This window comes from Homo sapiens, chromosome 17 (genome assembly GCF_000001405.40).
Source record: "Homo sapiens chromosome 17, GRCh38.p14 Primary Assembly".
Lineage (NCBI taxonomy): Eukaryota > Metazoa > Chordata > Mammalia > Primates > Hominidae > Homo > Homo sapiens.
The window spans coordinates 9,299,522-9,313,813 of NC_000017.11; the positions used below are offsets into that span (position 1 = coordinate 9,299,522).

At 42.3% G+C, this 14,292-nt stretch overlaps 1 protein-coding gene across 3 annotated transcripts in view, besides 1 other annotated feature; it reads right to left on the bottom strand.

The window, feature by feature from the left end:
* Positions 1-14,292, bottom strand: part of STX8 (syntaxin 8) — a 325,350-nt gene that overhangs the window by 49,051 nt on the left and 262,007 nt on the right. The gene's annotated exons all lie outside the window — the stretch shown is intronic.
* Positions 1,567-1,636: an enhancer, noted in NCBI's record as "active region_11724". NCBI's record gives its function as "activates an Ori minimal core promoter by ATAC-STARR-seq in GM12878 lymphoblastoid cells {active_cell/tissue: GM12878}" and the evidence as "EXISTENCE:reporter gene assay evidence [ECO:0000049][PMID:35858748]".

Here is a 14,292-nt window from a genome sequence, read left to right on the forward strand (position 1 = left end):
CAAGCTCTGCCTCCCAGGTTCACACCATTCTCCTGCCTCAGCCTCCTGAGTAGCTGGGACTACAGGCGCCCGCCACCACACCCGGCTAATTTTTTGTATTTTTAGTAGAGACAGGGTTTCACCGTGTTAGCCAGGATGGTCTCAATCTCCTGCCCTCGTGATCTACTGCCTCAGCCTCCCAAAGTGCAGGGATTACAGGTGTGAGCCACCGTGCTCGGGCCATTCTTACATTATTTAATACTGGTCATACCACTTCCTGCTTCCAGTCAGTGAAGTAGAGTTACCGCTGTGTCTAGAAGCTACCGCTTTAGGCTATTTGTTACTCTAAATGTAATGTAAACTCCTTTCCTTTCAGTTTGGGTTTGCCTCAATCAACTACGTTTGCCAACACTTGGAGATGTAGAGAGCTTTAAGTTGTTATCTCGTCAAGATCTTGGAACCTAGGCAGGGCATGAACATCAATCACCCAAGATAAACATTTGTTTCACCAGTGTTTATAAATTTCTGGGGTTGAAAATTCCCCAATTAGGCAGGGTGCGGTGGCTCATGCCTATAATCCCAGCACTTTGGGAGACCGAGGCGGGCGGATCACCTGAGGTTGGGGGTTCGAGACCAGCCTGACCAACATGGTGAAACCTCGTCTCTACTGAAAATACAAAATTAGCCGGGCATGGTGGCGCATGCCTGTAATCCCAGCTACTTGGGAGGCTGAGGCAGGAGAATCACTTGAACCTGGGAGGAGGAGGTTGCGGTGAGCCACGGTGGTGCCATTGCACTCCAGCCTGGGCAACAAGAGCGAAACTCCATCTCAAAAAAAAAAAAAAAAAGAAAGAAAGAAAGAAAAAGAAAAAGAAAATTCCCCAATTATTTAAAAAACCTGTGAGTCATGACCTCCCCAAATCACAATTATGGTAAACTCCCCTCCCCCTTTTATTTTGCTTCAGCTAGTTTGAGTTGGGTTTTGAACCTTAGAAATGTTTTGTAGTTTTCTTCGTAGATCTACTTCTTGTTGAGCTTTTATAGCTATCGTGAATGCAATCTGTTCTCCATCTGTGATGTTTTCTACCTGGTTATGAGTGTTATATGAGAATACAATTTTTGTATATTTATTTTATATCTGGCAAAGGACTTGGCGTTCTTAGTTTTTCAGTTGATTCTCTTGAAATTTCCAAGTAGACAACTGGAAATATTTGCAAGTAAGATGTTAATTTTGGCTTTTCCTCTTTATTTATTTTGCATATTGCAGAGGTTGTGCCTTCCAAATTAATGATATGTATTAGTTATGAGATGGGACATTCTTATTTTGTTCTTTTTTTTTTTTTTTTTTTTTTGAGACGGAGTCTCACTGTCACCCAGGCTGGAGTGCAGTGATGCAATCTCGGCTCACTGCAAACTCCACCTCCCGGGTTCACACCATTCTCCTGCCTCAGCCTCCTGAGTAGCTGGGACTACAGGAGCCTGCCACCACGCCCGGCTAATTTTTTGTATTTTTAGTACAGACTCGGTTTCACTGTGTTAGCCACAATGGTCTTGATCTCCTGACCTCGTGATCCACCCGCCTCGGCCTCCCAAAGTGCTAGGATTACAGACGTGAGCCACCACTCCTGGCCCCTTATTTTGTTCTTGATCTGATCCTCTAGTTTTTCACCATTAGGCAAAATGATTAGTAATGTTTAGTTTGTGATAGTTATTATTTAGCATGATAATACAGTGTGTGTCCTTTAATTCCTAGTTTCTGAAGAGTAATTTTTAAAAAACAACAACAACTAAGAACAGATACTGAGCTCTATTAAATGCCTTTTTAGTATCTACTAAGGTGATTACAAGGCTTTACTCCATTTATTAATGAGATGAATCATGTTAATATGTTTCCTAATATTAACCTCTCTTTGTACACTTGAGATTAATTTGGCTTGGGCACAGTGCTTTACTTTTTTTTAATTTTTATTTTATTTATTTATTTATTTATATTTATTTTTGAGATGGAGTCTCACTCTGTCGCCCAGGCTGGAGTGCAGTGGCGCGATCTCGGCTCACTGCAAGCTCCACCTCCCGCGTTCACGCCATTCTCCTGCTTCAGCCTCCCGAGTAGCTGGGACTACAGGCGCCTGCCACTATGTCCGGCCATTTTTGTTTTTTTTTTTGTATTTTTAGTAGAGACGGGGTTTCACCGTGGTAGCCAGGATGGTCTTGATCTGACCTCGTGATCCGTCCGTCTCGGCCTCCCAAAGTGTTGGGATTACAGGCATGAGCCACGGCGCCCGGCCAGTGCTTTACTTTTTAAATAGAAAACTAGATTTATTTTGCTATTGTTTTAGGTAGGGCATTTTAGGGTAACTATATTCATAAGTGAGACTGGCATCCAGATTTGTAAGTAAATGTTATCTTTGTTGGGTATGGTTATTAGAGTTATTCTAAATTCATATAGTGAAATAGGATGCCTTCCTTCTTTTCTGTATTCTGAAATAGTTTATATAACATAGAAATTATTTTTCCTGGAAAGTTTGAAATAGTTTGCCCATAAAACTGCCTAGTACCAGAGTATTTTGGGGAGGATAATTCTTTGTACACTCCTCCTGTTTCTTTCTCAGTTACTGTTCCATTTATGTTCTCTAATTACTCTTTAAACTATTTTGGGAACTTGAAGTTTTCTAGAAGATCATTGAACCGTTAATTAGTATAAATTTATAAATAGTATTCTCTAATTTTTAACTCAGCATCTGTGTTTATATACCCCTTCTCATCCTTAATATGGTGGTTTTGTTTTTTTTCTTTTTTGCCAAAATACTTGGCAGACATTTGCCTATTTAATCTGCCTTTTCAAATAGATAGTTTTTATATTTATTAATAAACCTACTGTTTATATGCTTTCAAATGCACTGACCTCTTAGTTTGTCCTGCATTCCTTAAGTTGGCTTAATCTAAAGTCCTAAATGGTATCCTTAAGTTACCTATTCTTATTTTTTTCTATTTGTATATTCCCTGGATGCTTTGAATTCATAACTGTGCTTAAATAGCCACCCTGCTCTAAAAGCTCTAAGAGTGAGCAGAAGCGGTGTGGCCCACTTCCAGGCATGGACACATAAGCAGCACACACTTCATGCTCTTTTCCGCTTCTGAAGTGTAGCCATAAGGTGCCCATGACCTGGCTTTGACCAAGGAGATGAGGATCCACAGAGCACTGGTGGAGACAAGACAGAGAGAAAGTGGGCTGAGAATGACTCCATGAAAAGGCAAAACCACAGGAATAGAAGTCAGATCAGTTGTTTCCAGGGTCTGGGGGTTCAGGGGATGAGGAGAAGGCACTGGCCACAAAGGAGCACAAGGGAACTCATATTCGGGGTGGTGGAAAGATTCAGTATTTTTATTGTAGTAGTGGTTGTAGAACTATTTATGTTTCTCAGAACTCACAGAATTGGTCACCGAAAAATGGTGAATTTTATATGTGAATTAGATCTAATATAGATTAAAAAAAAAAAAAAAAAGGAAGAGACAGGCACAGTGGGTCACACCTGTAATCCCAGCACTTTGGGAGGCCGAGGTGGGTGGATCACAAGGTCAAGAGATCGAGACCATCCTGGCCAACATGGTGAACCCCGTCTCTACTAAAAATACAAAAATTAGCTGGGCGTGGTGGCGCATTCCTGTAGTCCCAGCTACTCAGGAGGCTGAGGCAGGAGAATCGCTTGAACCCAGGAGGCGGAGGTTGCAGTGAGCTGAGATCGTGCCACTGCACTCCGGCCTGGCGACAGAGCGAGACTCTGTCTCAAATAAATAAATAAATAACCCTAGGAAGAAGAGACTTCTCCCTCCAACCTAGACTGCTCACTCCAGAGCTGTTCCATGAAACACAAATACAGTTCTACATTCTATAAGCCACAATACTGTTATAATATGGTTGCATCTCTCTGTTGTAGTACCTTTACCCTAGTGTGTGTGTGTGTATGTGTATGTGTTACACAAAAGTATTAACACTGATAAATAGTAGAATTGGAGTTAGTTCATTTTCTAAGTTTTGTTCATCTATATTTTCTTCAGTAAATGTGATTTCGCCACACATAAAAGAAAATATAAGAAATGTTGCATATTTTAGATCTATATCCAGCCAAAAAGTTAAATTACTAGGGCTTAAAATTAATCTCTAAAATTAGTACATGATTAAGGCGGCTTTCAAAATCAGTAGAAATAGGGATGAACTTTTAAAATAAATGCTAATGGAACAACTGAGTAGCCATCTGTAAAAACATACACTTCACACCAGGATAAACTCCAAATGGATCAAAAACTTAAATGCAGCAAACAAAACCATTAAAGGTCTAGAAAAAAAATCCATGAAATAATTCCTTTATGTTATGTGGAGATAACCTTTCTCACCGTGACTTAAAATCTGGACGTCATAAAAGAACAGGTTGATAATTACGACTACCTAAAAATTAGAAACTTTTCATGACAAAAAAAAAATCATCATAAGCAATGTCAAAGGCCAAATAATTAGGAAAAAAATATTTGAAATTCATTATCACACAGGATCCATCTCCCAAATTTATAAAAAGTCTCTCAACTTGGTAAGAAAAAGATCAGCAATCCAGAGAAAATCAGCACTAAGAACATCAACAGACTGTTAAGAAAAAAAAAGGAAATACAAATGGTCATTAAAATATATCCAAAGGTATTCTATTTCACTCATAAGAAAAATACAAAAGAGTAGCCGGGTGCTGTGGCTCACGCCTGTAATCCCAGCACTTTGGGAGGCCAAGGTGGGCAGATCACCTGAGGTCAGGAGTTTGAGACCAGCCGGACCAACATGGAGAAACCTCGTCTCTACAAAAAAATGAAAATAAATTAATACAAATAATTAGTCTGGCGTGGTGGCGCATGCCTGTAATCCCAGCTACTCGGGAGGCTGAGGCAGAAGAATCTCTTGTTGCAGCGAACCAAGATCGTGCCATTGCACTCCAGCCTGGGCAACAAGAGCGAAACTGTCTCAAAAAAAAAAAAAAAAAAAAAAGAAAAAAGAAAGAAAAAAGAAAACGAAAAATACAAAATAAAGCTCTTAGGTTTAATCATATGAATTACCAATGTTCTACGATTTCTGACCTACACAAATGGTAATTTCATGTGGTTCAACTTAATACAATGAAATAATATTTTTTCCTCTATCAGACTGGCAAAATCCCACAAGCTGAGTGCCATAATCTTTCCACGAGACTGTGAGGCGATAGTCTTATACAATGCTTTTGGGAGTATAAAACCACTTTGGAGGGCAATCTGGTAAAATTGATCAAAATTTCCACTCTGGGAACCATCCTTTAGCTATACCTCTACACATATAAAAGAATGTATGTGCTAGGTACAGATGAGTGTTCACAATATGCTACCTTTCATATATGGGCGAAAAAAAAAATATGTATATATATATATATATACAGTCCCTGACTTATGATGGTTTGGCTTAACGACTTTTTCACTTTAGTATGGTGATTTCAGCTGTATACAGTGAGGACTCACAGAACCATCCTGTTTTTCACTTTCGGTATAGTATTCAATAAATTACATGAGATATTAAATATTATTATTATTATTATTTTTTGAGATGGAGTCTCGCTCTGTTGCCAGGCTGGAGTGCAGTGGCGCGGTCTCGGCTCACTGCAACCTCCACCTCCTGGGTTCAAGCGATTCTCCTGCCTCAGCATCCCAAGTAGCTGGGATTACAGGCATGCTCCACCACGCCTGGCTAATTTTTGTATTTTTAGTAGAGATGGGGTTGCACCATGTTGGCCAGGCTGGTCTTGAACTCCTGACCTCGTGGTCCACCTGCCTCAGCCTCCCAAAGTGCTGGGATTACAGGTGTGAGCCACCGCTCCCAGCCAAATTACATGAGATATTAAATATTGTAAAAAAGACTTGTGCTTGATGATTTTGCCCAATTGTAGGCTAATGTCAGTGTCCTGAGTACATTTAAGGTAAGCTAGGCTAAACTATGATGTTGCGTAGGTTAAGTGTATTAAATGCATTCTCAATTAATGGTATTTTCAACCCACGATGGATTTATTGGGATGTAACTGCATTGTAAGTTGAGGAGCACCTCTATATGCACTTGATTTGCTTGTATGGTGATGTATGCGTAGTGATGCTGTGGTCAACAGTGGACAGCATATATCATGGTGGTCTCATAAGATTACAGGTGCCCTATACAGGTCCCCTATACAGGTGCATCTTTTTTTTTTTTTTTTTTTTTTTTGAGATGGAGTCTTGCTCTGTCACCCAAGCTGGAGTGCAGTGGCATGATTCTGGCTCACTGCAATCTCCGCCTCCCAGGTTCAAGCGATTCTCCTGCCGCAGCCTCCTGAGTAGCTGAGATTACAGATGCGCACCACCATTCCCGGCTAATTTTTGTATTTTTAGAAGAGACGGGGTTTCACCATGTTGGTCAGGCTGGTCTTGAACTCCTGACCTTGTGATCCTCCCACCTCAGCCTCCCAAAGTGCTGGGATGACAGCCATGAGCCACTGTGCCTGGCCACAGGTGCACCATTTTAAAATCCTTTATGTTGTACTTTTATTATACTATTTATACGTCTAGATACATAAATATTTATCATTGTGTTACAACTGTCTACAATATTCTGCATAGTAATACAGTGTTCAGGAGCCAAGGAGCAACAGGCCATACCATATAGCCAAAGTGTGTAGTAGGCTATGTCATCTAGGTTTGTGTCAGTACACTCTGTGATGCTCACACAACAAAATCACTTAATGACTCATTTCTCAGAACACACCCCTGTTGTTAAGCGAAACAGACCTGAAAACTTTCTCAAAGCAGTTACTCACTTAGGGAAGGAGAGGGAGTGGAGAAGACAGGGAGCGGGGAATCAAATTCCTCAGCGTAGATGTTGTTCATCGTATTGGTGATTGAAGTAAATACTCAAAATAAAAAACAAATTAAGGGCCAGGTACGGTATCTCACACCTGTAATCCCAGCACTTTGGGAGACTGAGGTGGGTGGATCAACTAAGGTCAGGAGTTCAAGACCAGCCTGGCCAACATGGTGAAAACCCGTCTCTACTAAAAATACAAAAAAAAAAAAAAAAAAAAATAGCCATGCGTGGTGGTGCATGCCTGTAATCCCAGCTACTTGGGAGGCTGAGGCGGGAGAATCACGTGAACCCAGAAGGCGGAGGTTGCAGTGAGCCCAGATAGCAGTACTACACTCACGCCTGGGCAACCAAGCGAGACTCTGTCTCAAACAAACAAACAAACAAAAACAAATAAGGAATTTAAGAAGTAAAACTGCAGGTTTTGACAATTAAAATGAATCATTTACGCCGGGCATGGTGGCTCACGTCTGTAATCCCAGCACTTTGGGAGGCTGAGGAGGGAGGATCATGAGGTCAGCAGTTTGAGACCAGCCTGGCCAACATGGTGAAACCCCATCTCTACTAAAAATACAAAAATTAGCTGGGCGTGGTGGTGCATGCCTGTAATCCCTGCTACTCGGGAGGCTGAGGTAGGAGAATACCTGGAACCTGGGAGGCAGAGGTTGCAGTGAGCTGAGATCCTGCCACTGCACTCCAGCCTGGGACAGAGCAAGACTCCGTCTCAAAAAATAAATAAATAAAGTAAGTAAATAAATAAATAAAATGACTCGTTTACCAAGGTCTTATAAATCATCAGTGCCACTGTGCTGCATCATTTATGTACTTACAACTATTTTTTGCCATCCCCCCCACCAAAACAAATAAAAAACCATAAATGTGAATTCCATCACTAGGCTGACGATCCTGACTGCCTCCCTGGCCAGTTTCTCCACCTTTTCTATGTCCTGCTTGGGGGAGGGCTGACCCCCACATGGGGCAACACCTGGGCTCTCCTGACTTCGGTCTTCCTCTCGGGTCAGCCAAAGGAGGCACTGGCTGGAGGTCAGAGGTCAAAAGGCTAAAGCTGGGGGATTGGAGTTGCTTCTCCTGTTCTCTTCTTGCATCAGCAGTGGTTCTGGCAATGGCTGCATCCCCTTTTAAGCAAATTTCCTGTCTGCTGTGATCTCCTACTGAGTTCTAGTAACACTATTTTCTCCCTCTTACTCCTTAGGGCCTGGAAGCGGGGTGGAATTAACAGTTTCCCACTATTGTTTATTCTTAGGTGCCCGTCAGGGATCAGAACGCGATACCCCAGAGTATGGCACTTTGGCATGCTGAGTACTTTGAACTGAGGGAGACTGGGAGGCATCAGAAAAGCAGGGCCTTTCTGACCTTCTCCCATCCTCCTGTTTCCTGCCCCTCTTTGTCCTCTGAGTCACAGAAGCCAGAATTCCTCTTCCCAGAGGCTGGTCTTAGAAGCTAGAACTCTTCTCCCCCAAAAGCAAGCTATAAAACCTAGAAAGGTCACTCTCTCCCTTCTCCCTTGAAGACCCTCATTCCAAAGGGTTTCTGCCCCATACCTGGGAGAAAGGAAAGCTACACAGAGAGGCCAAGAAGACGGAGGTTAGCGATAGAAAAGCACAACAGATTTATTTAATCAAAGTTGTATATGACGTGGGGGCCTTCAGCAATGAAGACCCAAAGACCCAAGGGGAAAATGTCCATTTTTATGCTTAGATTCAATGAAGAGTGGACAGCCATGTAGAAATGTGATCAAACAAAGACGGTGTGATCTAATAGTAATAGACTGAGTGGGGAAACCCCGCAGGACCTGTCTGCTCAGATTCCTCTTGGTCTGTCTGTGTGACATTCCTTCCTCCCGGGGATAGGGCAGGACCCCTTTGGAATGAAGGTCTTATGATCTACTTTCAGACAAGGTAGGTCAGGGAATTTCTTTATGGCCAGCTCCTACACAGAAAGGCAGAGTAGAATTAGAGGATTATTTCTACGTTTTGAGGGAGAAAGGTTCTAGTTCCTATGACTCACCTTGGTGAAAAGGAATTACAGCCAGGCGTGGTGGCTCACGCCTGTAATCTCAGCACTTTGGGAGGCCGAGGTGGGTGGATCATGAGGTCAGGAGTTCGAGACCAGCCTGGCCAAGATGGTGAAACCCTGTCTCTACTAAAAATACAAAAATTAGCTGGGCATGGTGGCGTACGCCTGTAGTCCCAGCTACTTCGGAGGCTGAGGCGGGAGAATTGCTTGAACCTGGGAGGCAGAGGTTGCAGTGAGCCGAGATCGTGCCATAGCACTCTAGCCTGGAGGACAACAGTGAAACTCCGTCAAAAAAAAAAAAAAAAAAAAAAAGGAATTCTAGTTTCTATGGCCTGCCTTGGGCAGAAAGGGAAGCAGGAGAAGGTCAGAAACAGACTTTGCTTCTGAAGCCCTTCCAATGTCCTTCAGTTCAAAGTACACAGAATGTCAAAGCACCATATTTTGGGGTATCGTTTGCAAAGCCCCAACATAATTGACATGGTGTTAAAAACCCCAAGGATAAACATAAAAGGAACCTAAAAAAATACAATCAGAAATTTTCAGGAAGCCTAGTTTTCTTTTTTTTTCAAAAGTGATTTTTCTAGTTGTTTGCTTCCAATAAGCAGCTTATTCTTTAAATTCTGACTTGACTAATAAGGGGGGTAAGGGGTGGCAAATTAGGGGGATCCTTTGAAAAAAAGAAAACAAGAACCTTCCCCATTCTTCCAAAGAGCCAATATCCAGAGCTCTTTGCAAAACTGTTAGTCCTATCTCTAGAAGGACATTTTTCTCACCCATTTATATTGTAACGGAAAATATCTTCCACGAAGCAAACATTTTTGAGATTTCAGCTTTCAAATGCACGGTACTTGTGATAAAGGGTGTTTTCAAGCCCTCTTCTTCACTTAACCTGCCAGCTAACATGGGAAACCATTAGCTCAGGCTGCTACAATTAACTCAGGGCTTCTTCTTGAAAGGCTCACACAATTCCCAGCTACTTATCATGCAAACAACCTGGGAGACTCATTTTCCTTGCAATGCGGTGGGAGGGGTAAATTACGGAGATAAGTAGATTATTGGGGAAAAAGTCACACTCGGAGGCCTTATGAAATGATTAAACTCTGGGAAATTCATCCCCCTAAATCCCTGGCCCCTGATAGTACACATTCATTACTGGATCCTGGGTAATGTACAATGAAGAACCTCCTTTAGAAGCAATAAATACTCCCACTCCGCTGAATTTTCACTTAACTTTTTAAACAGTGAGTTCTGTAGTTTTGATGAGTGAGAGTCATCATATACGAAGCAAATTAAAGGAAAGGGAAGGGGTCATGAGACTTGTAAGATTTTTAAATACTGTACTGTTTTGCTAAAATAGGAAAAGTACAAATATTAAAATAAAACCAATAACATATAACTCTAGAAAAATAGGGTCTTACTGACTTCCTTGGATTAACTTCATAAACTCCATATCAACAGAAACCATTTCATATTTGATTAACAGCCTTGTTCAAATCTATTATGACAAAATATATACTCTCTAAGAAGTATTTCCTATAGCAAATATTTGTCAATAGTCAAGTTGACTCTTATTAGTCAAGTTGACTCTTATTAGTCAAGTTGACGAACAGCCTGAAATGATGTTTCGGAAAGAAAAAGTCTAGGAAAGTAACTTAAATGAATGTAACCATGAGCTGGAGACAGAAAATGAACCCTCATTTTTCTGGCAAAAGGGGGAAAAAAAACAACATACAAACACACACACAAAAAAACAGGCACCCTGATAACCAAAATCCTAATAAGAGAACTTCGTGGTGGAGACTGTTAGTATCAGCGTTGACTTTCTACTCCCAGCTACTGAATTGCAGATTCAGATTGCAACCTCAGGCATTCCAAAATACAGCAGTGCACTCACTTAAAATCGCTCTTGGAAATACGCGAGGAATTGCTAACTCTCTAAGTAAAGCTGAGCCTTTTTGATAGAATAAAACACATCTGCTTCTTCCTTATAAATAGACTATTCACTACCTGGAGGAATTCAGTCTTGCCCCCACCTGTCTGCTTAAAGTGAAGATCTGCTTTGTGAGGTACAATGTAACCTGCTCTTGTCTCAATACAAAACCTTCAGTAAAGGCTATAATTTATCAAAATTCTTGGAGCTGCTTTTGTATGTGAGCAAAGAGTGTGCACCTGTTTTGGGAGGAGAGTGGGACAGGATGGGCTGAGATGAATCTTGTGGGGTTGGGGAGGGGTGGTCCACGGAGATCTGTTCTCATTTGATTTATAGTAAGGCTATTCCAATTTTTATAAATGAAATACCTGAAGCTTGGAGAGGTTAAGTAACTTACCCAAGGTCTCGATGTTAGAGCTGGGATTCAGATCTACACTGATTTTGGAACCCAAAGTCTAAATACTATACTAGACTTATCTTGGAAGACAGTAGAGAACACAATCCTAGTTTGATATCTCAAATTGCTGTACTTCACTTATGGGAGTAGACATTCCTGGATGGAACAGAATTGAAGATTTTGAAAGAGGAGGAGTCGGCCGGGTGCAATGGCTCGTGCCTGTAATCCTAGCACTTTGGGAGGCCGAGGTGGGCGGATCCCAAGGTCAGGAGTTCGAGACCAGCCTGACCCACGTGGTGAAACCGCATCTCTACTAAAAATACAAAAATTAGCCAGGTGTGGTGGTGTGCACCTGTAATCCCAGCTACTCAGGAGGCTGAGGCAGGAGAATTGCTTGAACCCAGGAGGCGAAGGTTGCAGTGAGCTGAGATTGCGCCACTGCACTCCAGCCTGGTAGACAGAGCAAGACTCCGTCTCAAAAAAAAAAAAAAAAAGAGGAGAAGTCAGTGGGGTAATACAGAAAACCCATCCCCCTGGCTATTCGCAGCTGCCTGAAATATGTATCTGCAATGGAATGATATGTATTTCACAACAGAATTGAGATTCAAATGAGAATGCACAGCAAGAAAGTAAGACAGAAAGAAACAATTTTCACTAAAAAAACTTGGTGTATATATTAATGAAGAACTGCTTTTAGAAACTGCAATATGTAATATTAACAGTGAGATAATAATCACATTTATAGTTAAATAGAAAGAAATGTTTTTAATATCCATGAAATGAGGCACATATATCTTGGCATCCCTATTTGAACTGTGATTAAAATAGACTGACGGAATATAAACAGAGTCTAGTTATTAAGAACACAGTCAGTCTGAAGCCCAGTTCAACCACTTACTAGCTGTGTGGCCTTGGGTAAATCACTGAACCTTTCTGTGCTTCAGTTTCTTCATCTGCGAATGTGGATATTACATGTCCCTATCTCATTGGATGGTTGTGAGGATTCAATGAAATAATACATCGAAGTACTTGAAACAGTGCCTGATAACATGGTAAGTACTTTATAAGTGTTAGTGTTAAATTCTCTTTTTTTCTTTTTTTTTTCTGAGACGGAGTCTTGCTCTGTTGCCCAGGCTGGAGTGCAGCAGCGTGATCTTGGCTCACTGCAACCTCCCCATCCCAGGTTCAAGCTATTCTCCTGCCTCAGCCTCCCGAGTAGCTGAGATTACAGGTGCCCGCCATTATGCCCAGCTAATTTTTTGTATTTTTAGTAGAGACGGGGTTTCACCTGTTGGCCAGGCTGGTCCGAACTCCTGACCTTGTGATTTGCCTGCCTCAGCCTCCTAAAGTGCTGGGATTACAGGTGTGAGCCACTGCGCCCAGCTTCGTTAAATTCTTATTAAACACATAAAAAAACCTATATAAGCATGAGACTCTTTTTTTTTTTGTTTTTTGTTTTGAGATGGAGTTTCGTTCTTGTTGTCCAGGCTGGAGTGCAGTGGCGTGATCTTGGCTCACCGCAACCTCCACCTCCTGGGTTCAAGTGATTCTCCTGCCTTGGCCTCCTGAGTAGCTGGGATTACAGGCATGCGCCACCACGCCCAGCTAATTTTGTATTTTTAGTAGAGATGGGGTTTCTCCACGTTGGTCAGGCTGGTCTCAAACTCCCGACCTCAGGTGATCCACCTGCCTCGGCCTCCCAAAGTGCTGGGATTACAGGCGTGAGCCACCGCGTCTGGCAAGCATGAGACATTTTAAGGGATATCATAAAAGATAGTAAATGCACAGGTTAAAAGAGTAAGGAAATTCAGTGCTGGTGGGAAGGCTGTTGAATACTCACTGAGTTGAGGCTTATACAGAAATCACGCAAGCTGGACTGATTTGTTAGGAGAGCAAGGCAGAATTATGAGACGGAAGGTCACTTGGGTTAAAGAGCAGGTCTGAGTGGAGTTAGAAAGTGGAATGACAGGTGGTTACATTACAGAGAGGAATTTTTAGAGTTAGAGGTAGAACAGTTCCAGATGTACTAACTCCACTCTGCAGTCACGGAGATGGAGAAATTATGACCTAGAGTGTTGGATAGATCGTCAAGGTAGAATCTTGCGTCCCCAGGCATCCTCCAGGGAAATGGGTTAAAGAGGTCACTGTGGGCCAGGCGTGGTGGCTCAGGCCTGTAATCCCAGCACTTTGGGAGGCTGAGGTAGGTGGATCACCTGAGGTTGGGAGTTTGAGACCAACCTGACCAACATGGTGAAACCCCCTCCCTACTGAAAAATACAAAATTAGCCAGGCATGGTGGCGCATGCCTGTAATCCCAGCTATTCAGGAGACTGAGACAGGAGAATCACTTCAATCTGGGAGGCGGAGGTTATGGTGAGCCGAGATCACGCCATTGCATTCCAGTTTGGGCAACAAGAGTGAAACTCTGTCTAAAAAAAAGAAATAAATAAAAATAAGAGGTCACTGTGAATTGAGTGTCAAAATCCTCAAGGAACATGGGTGGGTGATAAGAAAGTCAAAACGTATCAGTGAGGGGTTTTCGTTGAAGATGTCGACATCCACTGCAGCCGGTTTAGCAAAAGAGGGCTTTTTAAAAAAGGGAATTAGGAGCTTATAAAACCTTCAGGACAAGCAGAAAACCCAACCAAGTTTTGAGGATTCACAATCAGCACCAATAGATCCAATAATCCAACAGGACAGTTCCTACAGAAATGCCACTGCTGCAGCTGTCTGCCAAGGGTTACAGAGAACAGTAGGAACTAGGTGCCAGAATCTGCTGAACACAAAGAGCCAAATGTCCCCAGCTGCCATGCCCATCACAAGATCTGATCCCCTGTGCACAGCTAACACCCTGTAAGGGTCACTTCTATCTCTAAGTCTTTTTGAGACGGAGTCTCGCTTCTGTCGCCCAGGCTGGAGTGCAGTGGTGTGATCTCAGCTCACTGCATGCAACCTCCACCTCCTGGGTTCAAGCGATTCTTATGCCTCAGCCTCCTGAGTAGCTGGGACTACAGGCACGTGCCACCACACCCGGCTAATATTTTGTATTTTTAG